The sequence below is a fragment of the Homo sapiens genome, chromosome 12, assembly GCF_000001405.40.
Source record: "Homo sapiens chromosome 12, GRCh38.p14 Primary Assembly".
NCBI lineage: Eukaryota > Metazoa > Chordata > Mammalia > Primates > Hominidae > Homo > Homo sapiens.
Window position 1 is genome coordinate 97,716,595 of NC_000012.12, and position 27,162 is coordinate 97,743,756.

At 39.1% G+C, this 27,162-nt stretch overlaps 2 pseudogenes across 2 annotated transcripts in view, besides 1 other annotated feature; one reads left to right on the forward strand and one right to left on the reverse strand.

The window, feature by feature from the left end:
- The window catches only part of PAFAH1B2P2 (PAFAH1B2 pseudogene 2), a 43,106-nt pseudogene that overhangs the window by 3,183 nt on the left and 12,761 nt on the right, over positions 1-27,162 (reverse strand). Inside the window, exons 4-6 of one of the 2 annotated variants that reach the window (NR_077241.1) lie at positions 23,748-23,973; positions 16,571-16,806; positions 2,590-2,696 (exon numbers count right to left, since the gene is read on the reverse strand). The product of NR_077241.1 is annotated as a PAFAH1B2 pseudogene 2, transcript variant 2 (transcript). Of the gene's footprint in view, positions 1-2,589; positions 2,697-13,453; positions 16,083-16,570; positions 16,807-23,747; positions 23,974-27,162 lie in introns of those variants that run through there. The other variant, NR_077240.1, reaches the window with a different exon arrangement.
- On the forward strand, positions 5,122-5,227 carry RNU6-36P (RNA, U6 small nuclear 36, pseudogene; annotated as a pseudogene).
- Positions 7,131-7,632: an enhancer, noted in NCBI's record as "H3K27ac hESC enhancer chr12:98117503-98118004 (GRCh37/hg19 assembly coordinates)". NCBI's record gives its function as "activates a minimal SCP1, AML or CMV promoter by ChIP-STARR-seq in naive H9 embryonic stem cells {active_cell/tissue: H9 hESC(naive)}" and the evidence as "EXISTENCE:reporter gene assay evidence [ECO:0000049][PMID:30033119]".

The following is a 27,162-nucleotide window of genomic DNA, read 5'->3' on the forward strand; positions in this document are numbered from 1 at the left end:
GCTACCAAAGGCAAGTTTGAAATTAATAATGAACCCACACCCTCAGAAGTCAGAAGCAGCAGAATCATCAATTTCTCATTGATTTCTAGGCAGGAAGAGCAATGAAGACTCTGCCCTCTCACCTTCTCTCCTCTGCTCCCTTTGGAGGATGAATGGGGTACCGCAAAGGAAACCTGGTTTCCAAAGGGTCATAAAAGTGCTCCTGGAAGTCACCATGTTTTCATTCCTTTAAAATGATGATAAACTACTTATTAAGCCTTGGGCTATGGACTTGGCACTGAACTGTGTTCTTTGCTAGTATTTTCTTGTTTAATTCTCACAACAACTCCATGAGGTAAATATTAATCTTATGCCCAGGACATGAGGGCATATAAAAGGTAAATAACTGATAAATCAGTAAAATGGGGATTTCAATCTATATTTGACCCCAAAGTCTGAATTCTAAGCCAGCAGGTCTCAACTTTTTTGGTTGCAGGACTGCTTTACCTTATTAAAAATGACTAAGCGTCCCCAAAAGCTTTTGTTTGTGTGTGTTACGTCTGTGAATATTTATTGTATTAGAAATTCAAGCTGTGAACAACGTAAAGCACAAGAGTATAGAAGTAAACATTCCACAAGTCATTGGGTGATACCATCACATGTTACTTAGCCTCTGGAAAACTCCACTGTACACTCAAGAAAGAATGAGAGTAAAAGAGGCAAATGACATCTCAGTATAATTATGAAAATACTTTTGACTTTGCAGACCCCATAAGAGTTTTGGAGACCAACACAGGTTCCTAAGCCATACTCAGTAAACCACTGCTATAAACTTCTTCTGCATTTTGCTGTTTCCTACTGCACACTATGCTAGCATGCCTTGCATGTCTAATGTAATGTTCAAGTTGACATAAGTATCTTCTACAAATCAGAGAGTATCTATAATTCTCAAATGTATGCTGTATAGTAAAGAATGCCCCCTCCCTCTCCTTTGAATTTATGTATTTATATTTTATATTTTTTATATTTATTTTTTGAAACAGAGTCTTGCTCTGTCACCTGGTCTGGTGTGCAGTGGTGCAGTCATGGCCCACTGAGGTCCCCATCTCCCAGGCTCAAGTGATCCTCCTACCTCAGTCTCCCAAGTAGCTGGAACAACAGGAACCCATCACCACACCTGGCTAATTTTTTTATTTTTTGTAGAGTCAGGGTCTCACCATGTTGCCCAGGCTGGTCTCCAACTCCTGGCCTCAAGAAATTTTTCCACCTTGGTCACCCAAATCACTGGGATTACATGCATGAGCCACCATGCCTGGCCCTCTCTGTCTCTTTTAAATATAAGAGTTAAGTTAAAGTCTTTTTTTTTTTTTTTTATTATACTCTAAGTTTTAGGGTACATGTGCACATTGTGCAGGTTAGTTACATATGTATACATGTGCCATGCTGGTGCGCTGCACCCACTAACGTGTCATCTAGCATTAGGTATATCTCCCAATGCTATCCCTCCCCCCTCCCCCGACCCCACCACAGTCCCCAGAGTGTGATATTCCCCTTCCTGTGTCCATGTGATCTCATTGTTCAATTCCCACCTATGAGTGAGAATATGCGGTGTTTGGTTTTTTTGTTCTTGCGATAGTTTACTGAGAATGATGGTTTCCAATTTCATCCATGTCCCTACAAAGGACATGAACTCATCATTTTTTTGGCTGCATAGTATTCCATGGTGTATATGTGCCACATTTTCTTAATCCAGTCTATCACTGTTGGACATTTGGGTTGGTTCCAAGTCTTTGCTATTGTGAATAGTGCCGCAATAAACATACGTGTGCATGTGTCTTTATAGCAGCATGATTTATAGTCCTTTGGGTATATACCCAGTAATGGGATGGCTGGGTCAAATGGTATTTCTAGTTCTAGATCCCTGAGGAATCGCCACACTGACTTCCACAAGGGTTGAACTAGTTTACAGTCCCACCAACAGTGTAAAAGTGTTCCTATTTCTCCACATCCTCTCCAGCACCTGTTGTTTCCTCACTTTTTAATGATTGCCATTCTAACTGGTGTGAGATGATATCTCATAGTGGTTTTGATTTGCATTTCTCTGATGGCCAGTGATGATGAGCATTTCTTCATGTGTTTTTTGGCTGCATAAATGTCTTCTTTTGAGAAGTGTCTGTTCATGTCCTTCGCCCACTTTTTGATGGGGTTGTTTGTTTTTTTCTTGTAAATTTGTTTGAGTTCATTGTAGATTCTAGATATTAGCCCTTTGTCAGATGAGTAGGTTGCGAAAATTTTCTCCCATGTTGTAGGTTGCCTGTTCACTCTGATGGTAGTTTCTTTTGCTGTGCAGAAGCTCTTTAGTTTAATTAGATCCCATTTGTCAAAATTGACAAATGGGATCTAAAAAAGTTAAAGTCATTATATTTTTCTCTTCAAACAATAATTATGAAAAACCTATACAAATAATGAAAGGTGGTATTATTGTTATTGCCAACTCTTCATAACCCTTCCGCTTTACTTGTAGAGTTCTGAAAATCTAAATATTACCAGGTAACTTTGCATCATTGCATTCTGTACAAAGAGATGCTATTGGAAGTAGTTCATTTTTACCTTCAGGAAGTATTTATCCAATGCCTCTCATGTGCTCGTCATTGAGGTGGACCCCAGATTTACAATGATGAATGTAACCCAGTCTCTATGTTCAAGAAGCTCAAAGTCTGGAGGGAAGGATAAACAAATCAAATGTAATGTATAAAAACAATGTGACAAGATAGGGATATAGGGGCACATCGGAAGGATACCTAATTAAGCTTTCAGTAATTAAAGACGATTAAAAGATATACTAGTAATTTTACTGCTATATTTAAAATTTTCCAATTTTAAATTTCATTCCATTATTTAACTTGATGTCACTTTAAACATTGACTTCCAGTTTCTCCCTGCTGTTTAAATGTTGAAGATTTCCTTTTTTCACGCTGACATATCACTTTGCATTTTCAAAGTCAAGTCAAGTCTCATTGTTATTCCTTCTCTAGGTCCTTTTGTATCATTTCTCTGATATCTCTAGTATTCATAATATCTCCCAAATGAGTACCATCTGTGAATTATATCAGTGCGCTGTCTGTTCCCTACTCTGGCTTATGAATGAAGATGTTAAATCAGAACAGACATTGTAGGGCAGCTGCTTTCTGCCGCACCCCACCAGGAATCGTCTCAACATTTATGACACCTCTTCGCTGGCATTCATTACCTTTTGTTTATAGTCCTTCAGGTAGCTTTGAATCCCAAGTGATAAGGATGATGTTCAAGTGAATTTAAAGTTTTGTGATTAAAATTTGAATTGAGACATGGCATGCTTTCTGTTCAGTTCTGAGTTCTGAAAAGCAGTTATCTAACTTCCTCCCCTCTCCGTCTCTATCCCAAAATGACTTTAGTATTTGTTAATACACTTTAAATCTGCATGTGGGGACTACTTTATCTCAGTGTACAGGATGATAAAATGGAAATTGGTGTCACATTCTGATGTGAGGTGAGAAACCATAATGTGGAATTTGAAAGGAATGTTATTTTAAAAATCTGTTAAAAGATTCTCAGCAAGTGCAAGAGGTGAGACCCTATTTCTACAAAAAAAAAAAAAAAAGAAAAAAAAAAGAAAGTCAGGCATGCTGGTGCCTACTCGTGGTCCTAACAACTACTCAAGACACTGAGGCAGGAGAATCACTTGAAATCCAGGAGTTCAAGGTTGCAATTAGCTAGGATCTCATCACCAGAGTCCAGCATGGGTGACAGAGTGAGACCTTGTCCCTTAAAAAAGAATGATTCTTAGCCCAGCACCCCAAGGAGGGTAGCAGTAGTTGGATTATTGGAGATTGCAGAGGAGTTTTGGAGGCAGCTGGTGTGTCATGAGTCTCTCTCGTTTACTAAAGTGTAGGAGGGTTACTTCCACCTCCACCTCAAGCCAATAGAGAAGGAATTTAGGATGATTCAGAGAACTTGATAACTATCCTCTAAGTTTGTGGGATACTATATTGGGATCTTTCACCCACAACAACATCTGAAGACAAGAAGGGGTGACTGTGTTAGGCAGCTTGCTCCTCCAGAATGAATCTGAGCTAAGAATGTGAGGTCATGTGTAGGACACGCCCAAGAGAAAGCCATTTGGGCTCATTGTTGGTTTGTCCAAAACTGGTGAAGGGAGTTCAGCAGAAAGAAGCCAATAGCTCCACTCAATTTCTACTAATGAAGAATGAGAGGTAAATATTCAGCCAGAATAGAAATGCATTCCTTTAGGTCAAGGAAATTGCAGGTGCAGATGGGGTGGGAATGGTGCAATTCTGAAGAGCCCATGGGTATTAGTAAGCTTTTGCTGCATAAAAACACACTTCAAGACTTAGCGGCTTAAAACAACTATTTAGCTCATGATTCTTTAGGTCACCAAGTTAGGTGGAGCTCAGCTGAGCAGCTCTTACAGTTTTGGCTGGCTCACACATGTGTTGTGGTGAGATGTGGGTCAGTTGAGGGGTCACCAGTCTAATGTAGACTCATCTGGAATAGTCAGTCTCTGCCTCACATGGTTTCTCATCCTCTAGCAGGCTGTTTTGGTGGCATCAAAGCAAATTTTAAAAGCATGAAAGACTTCTTGGGGCTGGAATATCTTTGATTCCTTCACATTCTGTTGGCCGTGGCAAGTCACAAGGCCAAACCAGACTCAATGGGTAAGGAAATAGATTCCACCACTTGATAAGAGGATTGTAGTCTTTTTCTGCATCATTCTGCATGTAACATGAACATAAGCGTGGAGGTGCAGCATCCATTTTGTGACTATGAGATTATACACATGTTGAAGAAGGGCTCGTGCAGAGGGGGAAATATTGGGGAAATAGATGGAGTCTTAATCACATCATTGAGCCCCTACTATCCTGCCCTTTTTCTACCAACCCCCGTGCTTTTATTGCATGATACAGGCAAATCTCTTTCCTGTTTAAGATATTATGTGTTAGGGCTTTCTGTTACTTGCAGTCAAATATATTCTTGACTGATGCAACACATTTTTATAGAAGATGAGCTAAACTGAGCTGTACAACTAAAGAGGGATCAAATAAAGAGAAGAGTCATAAAAGATGGATTAAGAATTATGTGACAGTGCTCGCTCCGGCAGCACATATACTAAAATTGGAACGATACAGAGAAGATTAGCATGGCCCCTGCGCAAGGATGACACGCAAATTCGTGAAGCGTTCCATATTTTTAGAACTACGTGAAGAATGCAGAAGCCTCAGGAGCCGATGCGATCAACTGGAAGAAAGGGTATCAGCAATGGAAGATGAAATGAATGAAATGAAGCGAGAAGGAAAGTTTAGAGAAAAAAGCATAAAAAGAAATGAGCAAAGCATCCAAGAACTATGGGACTATGTGAAAATACCAAATCCACGTCTGATTGGTGTACCTGAAAGTGATGGGGAAGATGGAACCAAGTTGGAAAACACTCTGCAGGATATTATCCAGGAGAATTTCCCCAGTCTAGCAAGGCAGGCCAACGTTCAGATTCAGGAAATACAGAGAACGCCACAAAGATACTCCTCGAGAAGAGCAACTCCAAGACACATAATTGTCAGATTCACCAAAGTTGAAATGAAGGAAAAAATGTTAAGGGCAGCCAGAGAGAAAGGTCAGGTTACCCTCAAAGGGAAGCCCATCAGACTAACAGCAGATCTCTGGGCAGAAACCCTACAAGCCAGAAGAGAGTGGGGGCCAATATTCAACATTCTTAAAGAAAAGAATTTTCAACCCAGAATTTCACATCCAGCCAAACTAAGCTTCATAAGTGAAGGAGAAATAAAATCCTTTACAGACAAGCAAATGCTGAGAGATTTTGTCACCACCAGTCCTGCCCTAAAAGAGCTCCTGAAGGAAGCGCTAAACATGGAAAGGAACAACCGGTACCAGCCGCTGCAAAATCATGCCAAAATGTAAAGACCATCGAGACTAGGAAGAAACTGCATCAACTAACGAGCAAAATCACCAGCTAACATCATAATGACAGGATCAAATTCACACATAACACTATTAACTTTAAATGTAAATGGACTAAATGCTCCAATTAAAAGACACAGACTGGCAAATTGGATAAAGAATCAAGACCCATCAGTGTGCTGTATTCAGGAAACCCATCTCACGTGCAGAGACACACATAGGCTCAAAATAAAAGGATGGAGGAAGATCTACCAAGCAAATGGAAAACAAAAAAAGGCAGGGGTTGCAATCCTAGTCTCGGATAAAACAGACTTTAAACCAACAAAGATCAAAAGACACAAAGAAGGCCATTACATAATGGTAAAGGGATCAATTCAACAAGAAGAGCTAACTATCCTAAATATATATGCACCCAATACAGGAGCACCCAGATTCATAAAGCAAGTCCTGAGTGACCTACAAAGAGACTTAGACTCCCACACATTAATAATGGGAGACTTTAACACCCCACTATCAACATTAGACAGATCAACGAGACAGAAAGTCAACAAGGATACCCAGGAATTGAACTCAGCTCTGCACCAAGTGGACCTAATAGACATCTACAGAACTCTCCACCCCAAATCAACAGAATATACATTTTTTTCAGCACCACGCCACACCTATTCCAAAATTAACCACATACTTGGAAGTAAAGTTCTCCTCAGCAAATGTAAAAGAACAGAAATTATAACGAACTATCTCTCGGACCACAGTGCAATCAAACTAGAACTCAGGATTAAGAATCTCACTCAAAGCCGCTCAACTACATGGAAACTGAACAACCTGCTCCTGAATGACTACTGGGTACATAACGAAATGAAGGCAGAAATAAAGATGTTCTTTGAAACCAACGAGAACAAAGACACAACATACCAGAATCTCTGGGATGCATTCAAAGCAGTGTGTAGAGGGAAATTTATAGCACTAAATGCCCACAGGAGAAAGCAGGAAAGATCCAAAATTGACACCCTAACATCACAACTAAAAGAACTAGAAAAGCAAGAGCAAACACATTCAAAAGCTAGCAGAAGGCAAGAAACAACTAAAATCAGAGCAGAACTGAAGGAAATAGAGACACAAAAAACCCTTCAAAAAATTAATGAATCCAGGAGCTGGTTTTTTGAAGGGATCAACAAAATTGATAGACCACTAGCAAGACTAATAAAGAAAAAAAGAGAGAAGAATCAAATAGACGCAATAAAAAATGATAAAGGGGATATCACCACCGATCCCACAGAAATACAAACTACTGGGAGGAGCCAAGATGGCCGAATAGGAACAGCTCTGGTCTACAGCTCCCAGCATGAGCGACGCAGAAGACAGGTGATTTCTGCATTTCCATCTGAGGTACTGGGTTCATCTCACTAGGGAGTGCCAGACAGTGGGCGCAGGCCAGTGGGTGCGCGCACCGTGCGCTAGCCGAAGCCGGGTGAGGCATTGACTCACTTGGGAAGCGCAAGGGGTCAGGGAGTTCCCATTCCGAGTCAAAGAAAGGGGTGACAGACGCACCTGGAAAATCGGGTCACCCCCACCCGAATATTGCGCTTTTCGGACCGGCTTAAAATGTGGCGCACCACGACATTATATCCCACACCTGGCTCGGAGGGTCCTACACCCACGGAATGTCGCTGATTGCTAGCACAGCAGTCTGAGATCAAACTGCAAGGCGGCAGAGAGGCTAGGGGAGGGGCGCCCGCCATTGCCCAGGCTTGCTTAGGTAAACAAATTAGCTGGGAAGCTCGAACTGGGTGGAGCCCACCACAGCTCAAGGAGGCCTGCCTGCCTCTGTAGGCTCCACCTCTGGGGGCAGGTCACAGACAAACAAAAAGACAGCAGTAACCTCTGCAGACTAAAATGTTCCTGTCTGACAGCTTTGAAGAGAGCAGTGGTTCTCCCAGCACACAGCTGGAGATCTGAGAACTGGCAGACTGCCTCCTCAAGTGGGTCCCTGACCCCTGACCCCTGAGCAGCCTAACTGGGAGGCACCCCCCAGCAGGGGCACACTGACACCTCACATGGCAGGGTATTCCAACAGACCTGCAGCTAAGGGTCCTGTCTGTTTGTTAGAAGGAAAACTAACAAACAGAAAGGACATCCACACCAAAAACCCATCTGCACATCACCATCATCAAAGACCAAAAGTAGATAAAACCACAAAGATGGGGAAAAAACAGAACAGAAAAACTGGAAACTCTAAAACGCAGAGCGCCTCTCCTCCTCCAAAGGAACCCAGTTCCTCACCAGCAATGGAACAAAGCTGGATGGAGAATGACTTTGACGAGCTGAGAGAAGAAGGCTTCAGACGATCAAATTACTCTGAGCTATGGGAGGACATTCAAACCAAAGGCAAAAAAGTTGAAAACTTTGAAAAAAATTTAGAAGAATGTATAACTAGAATAACCAATACAGAGAAGTGCTTATAGGAGCTGTTGGAGCTGAAAACCAAGGCTCAAGAACTACGTGAAGAATGCAGAAGCCCCAGGAGCCGATGCGATCAACTGGAAGAAAGGGTATCAGCAATGGAAGATAAAATGAATGAAATGAAGCGAGAAGGGACGTTTAGAGAAAAAAGAATAAAAAGAAATGAGCAAAGCCTCCAAGAAATATGGGACTATGTGAAAAGACCAAATCCACGTCTGATTGGTGTACCTGAAAGTGATGGGGAGAATGGAACCAAGTTGGAAAACACTCTGCAGGATATTATCCAGGAGAACTTCCCCAATCTAGCAAGGCAGGCCAACGTTCAGATTCGGGAAATACAGAGAACGCCACAAAGATACTCCTCGAGAAGAGCAACTCCAAGACACATAATTGTCAGATTCACCAAAGTTGAAATGAAGGAAAAAATGTTAAGGGCAGCCAGAGAGAAAGGTCGGGTTACCCTCAAAGGGAAGCCCATCAGACTAACAGCGGATCTCTGGGCAGAAACCCTACAAGCCAGAAGAGAGTGGGGGCCAATATTCAACATTCTTAAAGAAAAGAATTTTCAACCCAGAATTTCATATCCAGCCAAACTAAGCTTCATAAGTGAAGGAGAAATAAAATCCTTTACAGACAAGCAAATGCTGAGAGATTTTGTCACCACCAGTCCTGCCCTAAAAGAGCTCCTGAAGGAAGCGCTAAACATGGAAAGGAACAACCGGTACCAGCCGCTGCAAAATCATGCCAAAATGTAAAGACCATCGAGACTAGGAAGAAACTACATCAACTAATGAGCAAAATCACCAGCTAACATCATAATGACAGGATCAAATTCACACATAACACTATTAACTTTAAATGTAAATGGACTAAATGCTCCAATTAAAAGACACAGACTGGCAAATTGGATAAACAGTCAAGACCCATCAGTGTGCTGTATTCAGGAAACCCATGTCACGTGCAGAGACACACATAGGCTCAAAATAAAAGAATGGAGGAAGATCTACCAAGCAAATGGAAAACAAAAAAAGGCAGGGGTTGCAATCCTAGTCTCGGATAAAACAGACTTTAAACCAACAAAGATCAAAAGACACAAAGAAGGCCATTACATAATGGTAAAGGGATCAATTCAACAAGAAGAGCTAACTATCCTAAATATATATGCACCCAATACAGGAGCACCTAGCTTCATAAAGCAAGTCCTGAGTGACCTACAAAGAGACTTAGACTCCCACACATTAATAATGGGAGACTTTAACACCCCACTATCAACATTAGACAGATCAACGAGACAGAAAGTCAACAAGGATACCCAGGAATTGAACTCAGCTCTGCACCAAGTGGACCTAATAGACATCTACAGAACTCTCCACCCCAAATCAACAGAATATACATTTTTTTCAGCACCACACCACACCTATTCCAAAATTAACCACATACTTGGAAGTAAAGGTCTCCTCAGCAAATGTAAAAGAACAGAAATTATAACGAACTATCTCTCAGACCACAGTGCAATCAAACTAGAACTCAGGATTAAGAATCTCACTCAAAGCCGCTCAACTACATGGAAACTGAACAACCTGCTCCTGAATGACTACTGGGTACATAACGAAATGAAGGCAGAAATAAAGATGTTCTTTGAAACCAACGAGAACAAAGACACAACATACCAGAATCTCTGGGATGCATTCAAAGCAGTGTGTAGAGGGAAATTTATAGCACTAAATGCCCACAAAAGAAAGCAGGAAAGATCCAAAATTGACACCCTAACATCACAACTAAAAGAACTAGAAAAGCAAGAGCAAACACATTCAAAAGCTAGCAGAAGGCAAGAAACAACTAAAATCAGAGCAGAACTGAAGGAAATACAGACACAAAAAACCCATCAAAAAATTAATGAATCCAGGAGCTGGTTTTTTGAAAGGATCAAAAAAATTGATAGACTGCTAGCAAGACTAATAAAGAAAAAAAGAGAGAAGAATCAAATAGACACAATAAAAAATGATAAAGGGGATATCACCACCGATCCCACAGAAATACAAACTACCATCAGAGAATACTACAAACACCTCTACGCAAATAAACTAGAAAGTCTAGAAGAAATGGATAAATTCCTCAGCACATACACTCTCCAAAGACTAATCCAGGAAGAAATTGAATCTCTGAATAGACCAATAACAGGAGCTGAAATTGTGGCAATAATCAATAGTTTACCAACCAAAAAGAGTCCAGGACCAGATGGATTCACAGCCGAATTCTACCGGAGGTACCAGGAGGAACTGGTACCATTCCTTCTGAAACTATTCCAATCAATAGAAAAAGAGGGAATCCTCCCTAACTCATTTTATGAGGCCAGCATCATTCTGATACCAAAGCCGGGCAGAGACACAACCAAAAAAGAGAATTTTAGACCAATATCCTTGATGAACATTGATGCAAAAATCCTCAATAAAATACTGGCAAAACGAATCCAGCAGCACATCAAAAAGCTTATCCACCATGATCAAGTGGGCTTCATCCCTGGGATGCAAGGCTGGTTCAATATACGCAAATCAATAAATGTAATCCAGCATATAAACAGAGCCAAAGACAAAAACCACATGATTATCTCAATAGATGCAGAAAAAGCCTTTGACAAAATTCAACAACGCTTCATGCTAAAAACTCCCAATAAATTAGGTATTGATGGGACGTATTTCAAAATAATAAGAGCTACCTATGACAAACCCACAGCCAATATCATACTGAATGGGCAAAAACTGGAAGCATTCCCTTTGAAAACTGGCACAAGACGGGGATGCCCTCTCTCACCACTACTATTCAACATAGTGTTGGAAGTTCTGGCCAGGGCAATTAGGCGGGAGAAGGAAATAAAGGGTATTCAGTTAGGAAAAGAGGAAGTCAAATTGTCCCTGTGTGCAGACGACATGACTGTATATCTAGAAAACCCCATCGTCTCAGCCCAAAATCTCCTTAAGCTGATAAGCAACTTCAGCAAAATCTCAGGATACAAAATCAATGTGCAAAAATCATAAGCATTCCTATACACCAACAACAGACAAACAGAGAGCCAAATCATGAGTGAACTCCCATTCACAATTGCTTCAAAGAGAATAAAATAGCTAGGAATCCAACTTACAAGGGATGTGAAGGACCTCTTCAAGGAGAACTACAAACCACTGCTCAAGGAAATAAAAGAGGATACAAACAAATGAAAGAACATTCCATGCTCATGGGTAGGAAGAATCAATATCGTGAAAATATCCATAATGCCCAAGGTAATTTACAGATTCAATGCCATCCCCATCAAGCTACCAATGACTTTCTTCACAGAATTGGAAAAAACCACTTTAAAGTTCATATGGAACCAAAAAAGAGCCCGTATCGCCAAGTCAATCGTAAGCCAAAAGAACAAAGCTGGAGGCATCACACTACCTGACTTCAAACTATACTACAAGGCTACAGTAACCAAAACAGCATAGTACTGGTACCAAAACAGAGATATAGATCAATGGAACAGAACAGAGCCCTCAGAAATAACGCCACGTATCTACAACTATCTGATCTTTGACAAACCGGAGAAAAACAAGCAATGGGGAAAGGATTCCCTATTTAATAAATGGTGCTGGGAAAACTGGCTAGCCATATGTAGAAAGCTGAAACTGGATCCCTTCCTTACACCTTATACAAAAATCAATTCAAGATGGATTAAAGACTTAAACGTTAGACCTAAAACCATAAAAACCGTAGAAGAAAACCTAGGCATTACCATTCAGGACAGAGGCATGGGCAAGGACTTCATGTCTAAAACACCAAAAGCAATGGCAACAAAAGCCAAAATTGACAAATGGGATCTAATTAAACTAAAGAGCTTCTGCACAGCAAAAGAAACTACCATCAGAGTGAGCAGGCAACCTACAAAATGGGAGAAAATTTTCGCAACCTACTCATCTGACAAAGGGCTAATATCCAGAATCTACAATGAACTCCAACAAATTTACAAGAAAAAAACAAACAACCCCATCAAAAAGTGGGCGAAGGACATGAACAGACACTTCTCAAAAGAAGACATTTATGCAGCCAAAAAACACATGAAAAAATGCTCATTATCACTGGCCATCAGAGAAATGCAAATCAAAACCACAATGAGATACCATCTCACACCAGTTAGAATGGCAATCATTAAAAAGTGAGGAAACAACAGGTGCTGGAGATGATGTGGAGAAATAGGAACACTTTTACACTGTTGGTGGGACTGTAAACTAGTTCAACCCTTGTGGAAGTCAGTGTGGCGATTCCTCAGGGATCTAGAACTAGAAATACCATTTGACCCAGCCATCCCATTACTGGGTATATACCCAAAGGACTATAAATCTTGCTGCTATAAAGACACATGCACACGTATGTTTATTGCGGCATTATTCACAATAGCAAAGACTTGGAACCAACCCAAATGTCCAACAATGATAGACTGGATTAAGAAAATGTGGCACATATACACCATGGAATACTATGCAGCCATAAAAAATGATGAGTTCATGTCCTTTGTAGGGACATGGATGAAATTGGAAATCATCATTCTCAGTAAACTATCGCAAGAACAAAAAACCAAACACCGCATATTCTCACTCATAGGTGGGAATTGAACAATGAGATCACATGGACACAGGAAGGGGAACATCACACTCTGGGGACTGTTGTGGGGTGGGGGGAGGGGGGACGGGGAGGGATAGCATTGGGAGATATACCTAATGCTACATGACAAGTTAGTGGGTGCAGCACACCAGCATGGCACATGTATATGTATGTAACCTGCACAATGTGCACATGTACCCTAAAACTTAAAGTATAATAATAATAAAATAAATAAATAAAAAAGAAAAAAAAGATTTACCTCATGTCAAAACAAAGAAAAAAAAAAGAATTATGTGACAAAACAACAAAGCAAATAGAATTTTTCTGGTCAGAAAAGAAAATGCAAAACTCGGAGAGAGAATTTAGCAAAATTTTGTGAATAGTTAGTGTGCAAAAAAACAGATCGATCTTAATTTTTTTAATGGAAAGAACCAAACAAAAACAAAGATTACTCTGTAAGATGGTTAGATGAATGAATTTATCTTTGAGGAGAACAATGTAAGCATTGAAATTCTGTCTTAGCATGACTCTGAATCTCCTTTTCTATAAATCTTGATGTATGGAAAAACACCTTTTCTACCTAGGATTAGACCTATTTTTATCTTTGTTTTTTTGAACATTAGTAATGAGGCAGATTTTTATTTAAAGGCTAGCTATTAGAATACTGTTGCCTGAATAGCTGTGGTAGATATAGAATATAGTGATATCTGAAGTTTACATACATAAGCAAACAAGTGGAAGCTCAGCTCACAAAGGGATATTTGATCCTCCGTGAAAAGAAAAGCTAAAATCGCATGCTCAGTAGTAACCTAATGGGTTCATTTGGACAAAACTCTCACTCTCTGACAGAAAAAGACCTGGATAGGAAATTGTCTTTGCACACACCAAATTCTGGCTTAATTCTCCTTCCTATACAACTGTACCTCAGCTAAAAATAAAATAAAATAAAAAAATTCTGCCTTGAAAAAACTCAAGAACCTGGACTACTAAAAACAAAAAGGAAATTTTAATGTAGTAAACAAATTTAGTGAGCACCATGTGTATTTTCTGTTATTAATGAAGACATGATACATTTTTAAAGTATGTATTTTTAAAGACAAAAAAAAAAATCTAGAAGGAGTCTTGACTAGAGAAAATTCAGCCCAACTTTTATCCCTCTCAATCAGAAGTGGGTCTTGGCACCAATCAGCAACCTCTCCTCCAGCACACAAAAGTACTGCCATTTGCCTTGCGAGCAGAACATAAAACATATACCTTAGCTGTTGAATTTGAACATTAAGCAGAATCACTGCAGATCACATTTTGTTGGGTTACTTCAATACCCACCTGGTCTAGTTCAAAATATCTGTCTGTACATCCAGTTTATACATATTCCGCAGGTATATTGAACAATATGCCATCTATCGTCCCATTATTTATTTTTACATGGCAGTTCTTGTTGCCCAAGCAAACATTAAGATTATAAAGAGCTCTCTTGAAGGAAATTTTCAGGTGAAGGTACGTTAATGAGAAACCTTAAAAGTTAAACAAATCTAGTTCTTTTTTACTGAACTGGTGGGATAAAAGCAGAATGGCTATTCTGAAGAGCAGCTTCATTTGTTTCCTCCCGGGAAAAGACCAAATTTTCTGGACTGCTTTATTTAAAAACAAAGTCAATTAAAAAAAAATAAAATGTACACCTTGGGATATTATAAAACTTGAAATAATGGCAGGTAGTATGGAATGGAAAGCAGAGGTTTTTGTTGTTTTTTTTTTCCAAAAAAAGGAAACTATAGCAGATTTTCAGGGAAAAGCAAACAAAACATACCAGAACATACCAGAACACTACGCAGACTCTATAGTGCAGAATACCACACAAGAATGAGTTCTACATTGGTAATATCATGAGAGTAAGGGGGGCTTATACTTCAGAGAAGAGGAAAGGCTGCAGGCATAGGTTTATGATAGACATGATATTTAGCAACATAAAAATGATACCTTCCAGCTGACTGCGGTGGCTCACGCCTGTAGTCCCAGCGCTTTGGGAGGCCGAAGTGGGTGGATCACCTGAGGTCAGGAGTTCGAGATCAGCCTGACCAACATGGTAAAACCCCGTTGCTACTAAAAACACAAAAAAATTAGCCAGGCGTGGTGGTGGGGGCCTGTAATCCTAGCTATTCCGGAGGCTGAGGCAGGAGAATCGCTTGAACCAAGGAGGCAGAGGTTGCAGTGAGCCGAGATCATGCTATTGCACTCCAGCCTGGGCAACAGAATGAGAATCCATCTAAACAAAAAACAAACAAACAAACAAAACCAAAAAACCTTCCAAAGGGTTCCCTGCATGGGGCAAAATTTGTTTTTCACTGCTATGCATAGGAAGGATTAAGAAAGTGGAACAAATTCCTTTGTAACTATAGCATCTCTCATATTTGAATGGCAAGCATGTTCAATCTGTTGCTGCATGTTAAGAAAATATTGAGGATATATATGAATAAAGCAAAACAAGAAAAAAGGTTAAATTATGAGCTTTAAAAATTAAAATAAAAATCTGTTTTTAAGCCAAGTAGGTGTGATTCTGATAATTATTACATATGACATAACCCATAGAAAGCAAGGCCAAGAAAAAAAAACTTCATATCGGTCAGTTCTTGGACTTGATATTGTCCTAGGAAAAACAGTGATAATTCAACAAATGCATCACACATACAACTAAAAAGTCTCCTTCTGGTTTCAGATAAATTTAAACAACAATCTTCCTAGGCTATTTTTTCTCCTGTGTCTAATAAACCTTCTACGTGCAAGGCCAGTGTAAATCCCTCCACCCTTTCAAACACTAGAGCTGAACATCCAGGAACATTTTGCAATGCAAAGTGCTTTGAGAAAGAGATGGATTCTGTAGTGCCAGTGGCATAACTGATCAAGGAAGCTGGGAAGAGATTAACGCTGATGGGAGCCAGTCAGGCAATGGTGGTTTGTTTCTCTCCTTGGGTGTTCCTCCATCAGCTGCATGATCAGTTCATAGAGGGCTCTGCAGATCTTTGCAGAGCCCTCTCCTGTAAGATGAAGAGAATCAAATATGTCATGGCAGGAGATGGCACTGTCAGGGTGCATGAAGCCCCCGTCTGTATGCAGGACCTACACATGGGCAAGCTTCAGCAAGGAAACCTTGAGAAGCTGGTTCACCTTTTGCCTCAAAGTGTTGGGCTTCTCACCTCAAGGTAACACATCCAATACAAGAATTTTGCCTTGTGGCTGCCTTATGTTGATAAATTGGTAGAGTGAATGATGGCCTTGATCCTACCTTCTAACTCTACTGCTGTATTTTCATGGTTGTTTGTTTTTACCCAGAGAACAATGACCTTAAGTTTAATATTCTCCAGTTCTCTACTCTTTATTTTCTATAAAACATGTCTTGTATCTTCCTCAGTTCTAAAATTCAGTGCGTGAAACGGGGAAAAAAGCTCTCGCCATATCTCGTGTTGCTGCATTAACTGCACCATGGGGTCTCCCACAAACACAACGTTAGGCTTTTTGTCTTTACCATCCAGGACAAATCTGTTGTGCTGAGATATCCATCTGTCGTCTCCTTGAATATCTTCCACTGCATGTGGAATAGCTGCTGTGTTTGAGTCGGCTTGATTCATTCTACACTCACGTAGAGAGTCCATGGAGGCCTTACAGGGTTGCAGCATTGACGGGTGGTGCGTCTGTCACTCGCTCAGTCCCTGTGGCCCTCCTCCGGCGCGGACCTCCTCGGGCCCCAGCACCAGCAGCAACCTAGAGATATTTTTATCCCAAAGAAAAAGAATTTAGGTAACTTCTTTTCGGTATTTGTCAGCCCTAGATTTCTTTAACAAATTCTTAATTATGCACATAAGAAATAGATACATATATAAAGCAAACGTGATTCCTTCAATAACTTGAGGTAAGCATTTGAGGAGCAAGAGCATATCCTCTAGAATGCTGTGCTAGTAGCTTATGCTTCTATTTCTCTCCACTCAGAGTCAGGATCTTGACTTCATGACTCCCCATATGTCTCACACTTAGCTTTATTCAATAAGGGAATCTCTTTTTCTTACAGTGATGCAGTGTTTTTCTGTATCTCCTTCGTAATAGAAAAGTGATTCATTTTACAATCAACTGTCATAGATTTTATAATTAACGTTTTAAATCTTGTTTAAATTTTGTCATAGAGCGTATTCATCAGTTTGTGGGATCTATTGTCATCATTTCCTTCATTTGCTCCAGTTTCTATGTACCACCTGAAGAACCCACCATACTTTCTTCAGTCCAGAATATCCAGGTTTAGTTATTGCAAATAGTGTACTCATAATACAGGTGATTCTTTCAGTCTTTGAAATATATTCTCCTTTTGTAACTTGCAGCATACCCAGCAAATCAGTCTTATTAAGACAGAATACTATATAGGGGCTATTTATCCTGGTTTAGCCCAATTTGAACATCAAAATCAAGACTAAAGACTATACTAGTGATGTAGTGTCCATAAAGCTCAGTCACTTGCCCAGATGATTTACAGACAACAGCAGAATTTGAGAATGACTGAAATCTATACTACAGGATAAAAACTATGTATATTTTAAAGTATATCCTTTTTTCCTTTTTCTTTTCTTTTTTTTTTCAAGAGACAGGTTCTTTCACTTTGTCATCTAGTTTGAACCGTAGTGGTGTGATCATAGCTCACTGCAGCTTCAAACTCTTGGGCTCAAGTGATCCTCCTGCCTCAGTTCCCCTGGTAGTTGGGACTATAGGAGCATGCCACCATGCCTGGTTAATTTTTGTGTTTTGTGTTTTTTCGTAGAAATGGGATCTTGTTATGTTGCCCAGGCTGATCTCAAACTCTTGGGTTCCAGCAGTCCTCCTGCCTCAACCTCCCAAAGGGCTGGGGATTACAGACATGAACCACCATGCCTGTTTGGCAAGTTCTTATATTTAAAAGAAGACTGTTTTTCTGCTCACAACGCTTTTGATACAAAAGGCATGGGAATTTTTCTTCTTGTACCAACCAGTTCTCTAACTTTCCAGACACAAACTGAGTGTCCTATAGCTTAATTCAATTCTGACACTGACTATGCATAGTTAAGAGAGACCTCATAGGTTAAGGCTTCAGTCCCAGAATACTGCCCTACTGCCAGTCACAAGTACTGGTTGCCCAGGGTACCCACACTTCTGTCCAACTTAGCTACAAATCAAGGGTTCCCGTAATCCTCCCCCCAGGTTCAATAATTTGTTATAACAGCTCACAGAACTCAGGGAAACACTTTACTTAACATTTTTATTACAAAGGGTATTATAAAGGCTATAAATCAACAGCCAGATGAAGAGGTGTATGGGGTCAGGTCCAGAAGGGTCCTGAATACAGAAACTTCTGTTCCCATAGATTGGGGTATACTACCCTTCTGACACGTGGGTGCATTCGCCAACCTAGAAGGTCTCCAAATTCCAGCATTTAGGGATTTTTCTGGAGGCTTTATTGTATCGGTATGATTATTAACTCAATCTTCAGTTCCTCTTTCCTCCCCATACGATAGGGAATGGGGCTGACAGTTTCAAGTTTCTAATCCTGGTTTGGTCTTTCTGATGACCAGCTCTTATCCTGAAGCTATTTATGAGCACGCTAAGAGTCATCTCATTAGAACAAGAGATTCTAATATCACCCAAAAAATTCCAAGGGATTTAGGAGCTCTGTGTGACATTTTTGTCAACCCCATCACTCAGGAAATTGCAGGGGTTTTAGAAGCTTTCTGTCAGAACAAGGGACATAGACCAAATATATATTTCTTATGGTGTCACAATATTCAATAAATTATAAATAAGACACTTTGTGTCTGACAGTAAAATACAGTTTCTCCTCAATAAGAAATTAGATCTATGGGAATACTACCATACCCATTTGGATTTTTCTTGTAGTGTGTTCTATGACATTCCCATCAGTTGACATGAGAAATGTCTATATGGTACCTTGCTTCACGAACCTAATTACTAAGTGTGATTTATCTCTAGTCTTTGATAATGCTTTTTCTCAAAGAATAGTCTCTAAATGCTAAGTCATCTTCAATAACGTTTCATGCGGGGGCTTAGTTTCCCATCTTTCCTAAGCACTCAGGAAGATGCTGGCTCGAAGAGAGTTGAATTTACCATGAAGCTAAGAAAGTGAAACTTTGGAAATCTTCAACTGCACCAGCCCCTTTCCAAGGTTCTGTAAATGTGTAAAATTTGCAAAAACGAAATAACAACCACAATTACTGAAGGCCATAGTTTCTTTCCACTCCACTCTCCACTCTGTCATACTTCCCTTCAAGTCAGATACTGTTGATGTAGCTGCAGGTAATTTGGGAATCTGACTAAGGGAAAATGGAATTAATCATACATCAATTTGTGTTTAGTGGATGTATTTGTGTAGCTCAGTTCCCTCTGTGTGAAGTCAAGTTATTGCTCGTCTTTCTGTCAATGAAACAGCTTCCAGGCACACTCCCACCATTCATTACACTAACTCCCTTAGCTTCATGACACCAAGGTGCAGGGCCAAGGCCCATATCACCATGATATGAGCATGTCCAGTGGCACAGGAAGAATGTGGGGTCCTGGAGGGGAAACAGGTTGCAACTGTGTGGAACCAGGAACTGCTCCGTGGAAAATCTATCATTAGCAGACATGTAATATTGAAAAGGGGGCATTCACTTCTCATTAATGTCTGATCAGAATAGAATTTCTCTCCTGTCAGGAATATATTCATTATAATATGATATTTGCAATCACAAATGTTACGAAGATTTTTTTTTTATGGTGACAGTAAGAAAGAGAATTTATCACATACCAATATTACAAATAGTGGATACATCTGTAATAGCTCATATATAACAGAACATGATAATAATTTTCTTAAATTTGTGAGATAGTACCAGTAATTAGTGTTAAAGATAAAATATCTAAATTATTAACAATAAAACAGATATTAATCAATATTGCTGAAATGCTGATTGTTTTTTATTTTCCCTAGAAATTACTGCATTTCAAAATTATAGTCATTTGAAGAAACAATAAGAGAATATATTGTAGCCAAGAATATTATAGAGCTATGTCAGGCAGTTGAGTAATATAAACATTGTTATTTTTTGTGATGTTTGTGGTACTTGTCAGCTGTTAAAAATCTATTGTTTGTTGGATTTCTATTCTCATTCTAAATAGTCATTCTAATTATTAAGTTATTATTTATAATTTTAGGTGCTTTTATTTTTTTAAAAAAGAAGACTCCCTAAATTGTAAAGTTTCAGAATCACAGAAATTTAAATCCATTCTAACAGGAGTTTTTTCCTCTCTCTTTCTTTCTCTCTCTCTCTCACACACACATATAGTTTAGTGCACTCGACCTCTGTGCTGTTTGCAATATATACAATGTATATAATGTATATATTGCAGGGATGTAAAATATATATATATACACATATAATATGCTGCAAAGAAGGACTATATATAGATTAATAGGTATCTATGTGATATATCATATCTACATATAGATATCTAGATGTAGATAGATATAGTTAGATACAGATATACACACAGAAGCACTATATATATATGTATATGTGTGTGTGTATATATATATATATATATATATATATATACACAGTCAAATCTGGCTTCTTGATATTTTAGTTTAGAAAGGGACATTTCAAAACTCTTTCTGATGTAATAGTCACTTATTGGGGGAAGAGGAGGTGGTGTCTGAGTTGATAAGAGAAAATTGCACTCTTCCATGAGCTTCCATTTTAGCAAGAGGTGTTAACCATTTCACATGAATTATCAATTATTATGTTAGTGACATTGAAAGCAATCTCCTCCTATATGATTTTTTCTTCTTCCTCCTCCTCGTCTACCACTGCCACCACCTTTAATAAATCTTATACATTTAGTTTTCATTTCACCAAAGAGAAAGAGATCAGGAAAATGAATGCGTCAGAAGGAGTACTTTCAGACACAAGAGGTCAACCTGCCTTCCAGGTAGGGCTGCTCTTCCTGGGAGCCACAGGGTGGCACAGAGCAAATAGCAGATGTAGAACCCACGATTCAGATTAGGAGACTGTTGATGACAAATGGCAGGTGGCTGGTTGGGGGTTGGAGGAAGTTCTTTTACCAGGGAAGAATATAGACAGGCATAAAGTTTTGATAGGCCTAAGGACACAGCCCGGGTACTTGAGACACAACTAGAGTCTAAATTAGAGATTGCAGAGGGGATGCAGGATGAGTCCATTGCAAACACTCAGAGACGCGGGTTCAGGGAGTCCTACATCCAAACCAGAAATGGATGCAGGATCATGGATATAAAGCCAATGTCAAGCATTTCTAGGGCATGAATGGCTTTCAGGACAACGTTCCCAGCCAGTGCCCTGAAAATGGTAGAGCAACTGCTCCAAACTCAATGTTCCCTATTTTGAAGGATTGGATTTAGCTGTTGATTGGGCATAACAGCATGAACTCTAGGGAATCAGGTTCTTTTTTTTTTTTTATGATACAGTGTTTTTCTTTTTTTTATTATTAAAGTTTTAAGGTACATGTGCACAACGTGCAGGTTTGTTACATATATATACATGTGCCATGTTGGTGTGCTGCACCCATTAACTTGTCATTTAACATTAGGTATACCTCCTAATGCTATCCCTCCTCCCTCCCCGCACCCCACAACAGGCCCCAGTGTGTGATGTTCCCCTTCCTGTGTCTAATGGTTCCAGGATTAGACACAGATGACATTCTCATCAAGGAAAAATTCCAATTTCACATAGGTATCACTATAACTCTCTTCTCATACTTTAAGGAGGCAGGTGGCATATTTGGAAGGAGATGAAAGATTTGAGGCTTCAGGTTGCAATCTTCTTTCCCAGGATGAAGCCCTTCAACCCCGTGCCTCTCTCCACTAACTAATAGCAGCATCTTTTCATTATCCTGCAAGTAGCTGTTAAAATCACTCATTGATATTAGTGAGGTGAATTTTAAAAAATCATTCATTCTATTAATAGTGTTGGTCTGCTTCAGAGGTTTTTACATTTTTCTTCTTCACTAAAGAAACATAGCATGTATCCTAGATATTAGAGTTGCTATTATTAGAAGGAATAGTAGCACCATCACTTAATTTTACTTACACATTTTATTATGTTTGTCCAACTGAGTATTATTATGTCCCAGAATAATGGAAGATATTCATAACCTTCAATCTCAAAATAAACCAAAGACTTACAGTTTTCCCCAGATACCTCTAGTCTTGAATTCAAGTATTATTCCTTCTTGCACATTCTTCCATTTTGTTCTATGAGAATTTTAAATATTGCTTCAAACCCCTGAAGGTTTCATGAACTTAATCACAGGCTGTATTTGAACAGACTTCACTGATAATTAATGAGTTGAATGTGTTTAACTATTACTCGTTGTCCAAATAAATGCAAAATAAAGTACCTTTATTTAAATGTACAAAATACTCATCTATATATTCATAAGCAATAAAGTTATATATTTGGATTTGTTCCATTTCTTTGACTAAGACAAAAATAGAATGCTAGCCCCTTGATAACATTTTCTTATACTAAAGAAAGATATCACACTTTTGATTATCTATCAACTTTAATATTTGCTGATATGGACAAGCACTAGTGTCTGCTAAATACAGAGAAGCCTTGACCTACTTTATTTGGTTTTGACATTTTGCATTTTAAAATGCAGGATCAAGAATGGTAGATTTTTATCATCTCTCCTTAGCCTTCTCTACAATAAGGAGAACACAAGGAAATTTTGGAAGGAGAAATAATACAGGGCTCATGAGGCCAATTTGGCAGAAAGTATTATTTTAAATAAATTCTAAAATGAGACACATTGAGATTTGTGCAGGGAGAGACATGGAATTTTCTTCAAATCATGCAAAAAATCAGGTGTATTCACAATGAATGCTTGGCTTGGAAAGGTTATTTTGTAAGCCAGTGCCTCCCATTCACTGTGTCTCATAAATCTGCCAGACACTGAGGGACATAAGATATTGGGAATCATCCTTTGGAGTTAATTGGAGAAACTGCTGTGCTTGTCTATAGGGAAAAACCTACTGTCATGTGTCAAATTTGGGGGTTACTGATAGAGTATTCAACAGACATGGTTAACTGAGGAAATCAAGCAAATCTAAACCACAGAAGAAAAAGACAATGGTATTACCTTCAGGAGACACAGTTAGGTGACAAGATGGAAAAGGAAATAGTTTTGCAGCTATCAGCATCCTGAACAAGAGATTGCATGAAAAACTCAAGCAGATACTGTCACAGGGAGCTAGAGCAAGAAAGGAGGAGAGCTAATGAAAGCAATGAGGTGTGTGGGGCAACTATTGGGCATATGTGATTGCTAGCATACTTCTATAAATAGATATCTGGAAGGGAGAATTAGATTAAGAAGGAAGTTGGAGTTCCTGCAATCATGGATAGCTGCAAAGTCAGAGAAATATGGTTTAATAACTGGTGTTACCTATTCCTACTACCCATCGTAGCATGAACTAATACAACATAACTCCAAACAGAATTTTGGAAGAAATCGTGGAATTCCAGACACAGCTTCCTTGTAATTTATTGTTACCGAGCACAGACCTGTTATTCAATTATTAAGTTGTCTGAACATTTTCTGATTTGGGTCTGAATAACTATGGCATTCAAATAAAAATACTTTATGCTTACTTGTCTTAGTTTGAGTTTCCTCCAAAGTAGATCCTGATTGCCTTTCAAGCACATACCTCTTCATCCCCTACCGCTCATGATAAATATCGCAAATGGGTTGTTGGAAAGATATTACAGCGTGATGTTATCGGCATGCTCTTAAGCCAAACTACTGGGTGTGTGGTCTGATGTTGCCATTTACCAGCCATGTGGCCTTTGAGTAGTTGCTTGTCTGTGTCTTGACATTCTTATAAAAAAAATGCTCACATTAATTCACCTCTTAGAGTTGTGGCAAGTATAAAGTAAATTAAAACAAATACCAGGTTTAGAATAGGACCTGGTACATGACAAGTGTCCAATAAATATTAGCTCTTTCTATGATGGATTTTTTTCCTGAAAGCTTCAAAACCCTTCTCAAAACAGTGTTCCAGGCAGCCACTGCCAAGTAATCAGAGTTGACACAAGAGATGAAACCAATTTGTCAAGTCTCCGTCCTCCTTAAAGTGAGAAGATGGATGGCAATACAAGCAGAGGAACCTGGGGTTCTGTACCTATCTGGCTTTGAAGGCTTGGAAATTATAGAATCTCAGAGGAGAAAGAAACCATAAAAGTCAGCCACTCCAACCTCTAACCCACTCTGGAAAATCCTTCTGTAGTGTGCCCTAACAAACACACGTGCATCTAGGGCCCTGCTTGGTATTCAATGCTCATTACATCATTTAATTTTAGCTTTTAGACTTTGCCTTAGGCAGCTTGGGCTGCCATAACAAAATAACATAGACTTGGTGGCTAAAACAACAAAACTTATTTTCTCACAGCTCTGAAGGCTGGGAAGTCCAAGATGAAGACGCCAGCTGATTCAGTTCCTGGTGAGGGTCCGCTTACTGGCTTGTAAACACTCATCTCACTATGTCCTCACATGGACTTTTCCTGAGACATAGAGATCTCTTCCTTTTCTTATAAGGCCACCAATTCTATTTGATTATGATCCTACCCTTATGATCTCTTTTAACCTTAATTACCTTTAAAAAGCCCTACCTCCAAACACACTCACATTGAGAGGTAGAGCTTCAGCATATAAATTTGGTTGGGTGGGGGTGAGGAGATACAATTCAGTCCATAGCAGAAATTTTTAGTTTCTCTTAATTGAATTATGCCTCACTATTGTAGTTTTGTTACCAGGAGCAACAGTAATGAGACCTTCCAAGTGACAAAATTTGAAGAATTTAAAACACTTAAAGTACCCTCCCTAGGTTTTACCTTCTGATGCATTGTCCCCATTTATTTAAATAATTTTTTACCTAGACTTCCCACCATCCAGTGAACATGATATCCTTTGTTAATTTATATATTTAAAAAGAGTGTCCACAATTGAAAATAGTTGCAAATGTGATCTGATCAATATAAAATGCCAGGGAATCCAGATCTTCCCTGTTCTATAACTATTCTGGCTTTGCTGCAAGTTGAGATTGCCTTTATTGTATTAGTCGTTGGGTGACAGTTTATAGGAAGTAGCTTACTGCCTGCACATTAGGTACTCAGTAGGCCCTGGTTGAATGAAACTGCAGCCCACTCTGATGGAATTTTTGTTGTTGTTTTTACAGTAAGACATATTTTTCTGAATCATCTCCAGTCTAAAGAACTCACAGAAGACTGGAAGCTAGGCCATTTTAGAATTCTCTTGAAATTTTGCATTTACATGAAAATGGTAGTAAGGGTCTGGACCAGGATGAAGAACAATTGTAATGAACCAATATAGAGAATGCCTGCACTGAAGAAAAACTGAGAATATGTTTTTCATCTCTTTCTAGGACTGCATGGACATAGAGAAAGAGTGAACAAGGGGCATGCTTCTGTTAAGTGTCTTCAGTAATTACTTGAACATGTGACTTGCTGTTTAAGGAATAAATGACATTTACTAAGGATTTAATATATGTCAGCTACTGTGCCAGGCACTTTCACATTATCTCATTAATCCTCTCAACAGCCCTGTGAGGTAGAGGTTGTTAGATCCACTTTACAGGGAAGTTATGGGGCTTGCCTAATTTTGCATGCTAAAGGTAATTCTTGCTTTGGCTGCCAAATGCCATGAGCTTTCCATAACACCTACACTAGTAATACTGGAGCATACCAGGGGATACTGGAAGGCACAGACAGAAAATGGCACACCACCCTGGGGTATTAATATTCCTGATGGCAGGTGTATTGGTTTACTAAGACAGCCATAACAAATAACACAGATCAGGTGGCTTAAACAACAGAAATGTACTTCCTCACAGTCCTGGAGTCTAGAAGTTCAAGACCAGGGTGGTGGAAGTGTTTTTTCTGCCTTCCCCCTCATTTGGTTTGTAAATGGCCATCGTCTTCCGGTGTCTTCACATGGGCTTCCCTGTTTGTGTGTGTCTGTGTCCTAACCTCTTCTTCTTAGAAGGTCTCTAGTCTTATTTGATTAGGACTCACCCCCAATGGCTTTATTTAACCTTAATTATCTCTTTAAAAGCCTTTCTCCAAGTATAATCACATTCTGAGGTACTAGAGATTAGGACTTCTACATATGAATTTCAGGGGCACACAATCCAGCCCATAACAGCAGGTAATTCAAAACACTCTAGAAAGGAAGTAAAATATAATACATAATAATCTGGACTTTGGACTTTGATTGCTTTGGCTGAATCCTGATTCTTTCATTAACTAGGTGAGTAACCTTGATCAACTCATTGAACCTATCTTCCCCTCAGTCTCCCAGTCTTTTAAATGGAGATACTCTCTTGTAGAATTTTTGTGTGTGTGAGAAAATAAAACAAGTTAATACATATTAGACACTTAGAAGAATCCCTGGAATGTAATAAGCACAGTATATGTAGTAACTTTTATAGGATAGATGAAGTAAAATGAAACATTAATTTTTATTGTGTATATTTAAGATGCACATGTTTTGTTATACATAGGCATAGTGAAATGATTACTACGGTCAAGCTACTGAACATATTCATCATCTCACACAGCTACCTTTGCATGTGTGCATGTGGTAAAAGCACCTGGTATCTATTCTCAGTGAATTTGCAGTATACAATAAAATATTTTTAATTAGAGTCCTATGCCATGCATTAGGTTGCTAGACTTATTCATTCCAAGTAACTGCAACTTTATAAACTTTGAACTACATCTCTCCATTACCCCCTTCCTTAACACCTCTGCCGCTGGTAGCCACCATTCTACTCTCTGTATAAGGGAAATCATACAGTATTTTTACTTCTGTGTCTGGCTTACTTCACTTTCACATAATATCCTTAGGGTTCATCCATGTTGTTGGATAAGGCAAGATCCCCTTCCTTTTGAAGGCTGAATAATATTCCTATATATATATATATATTGGGGTGTGTGTGTGTGTGTGTGTGTGTGTGTGTACCACAATTTCTTTATCCATTTATCTGTC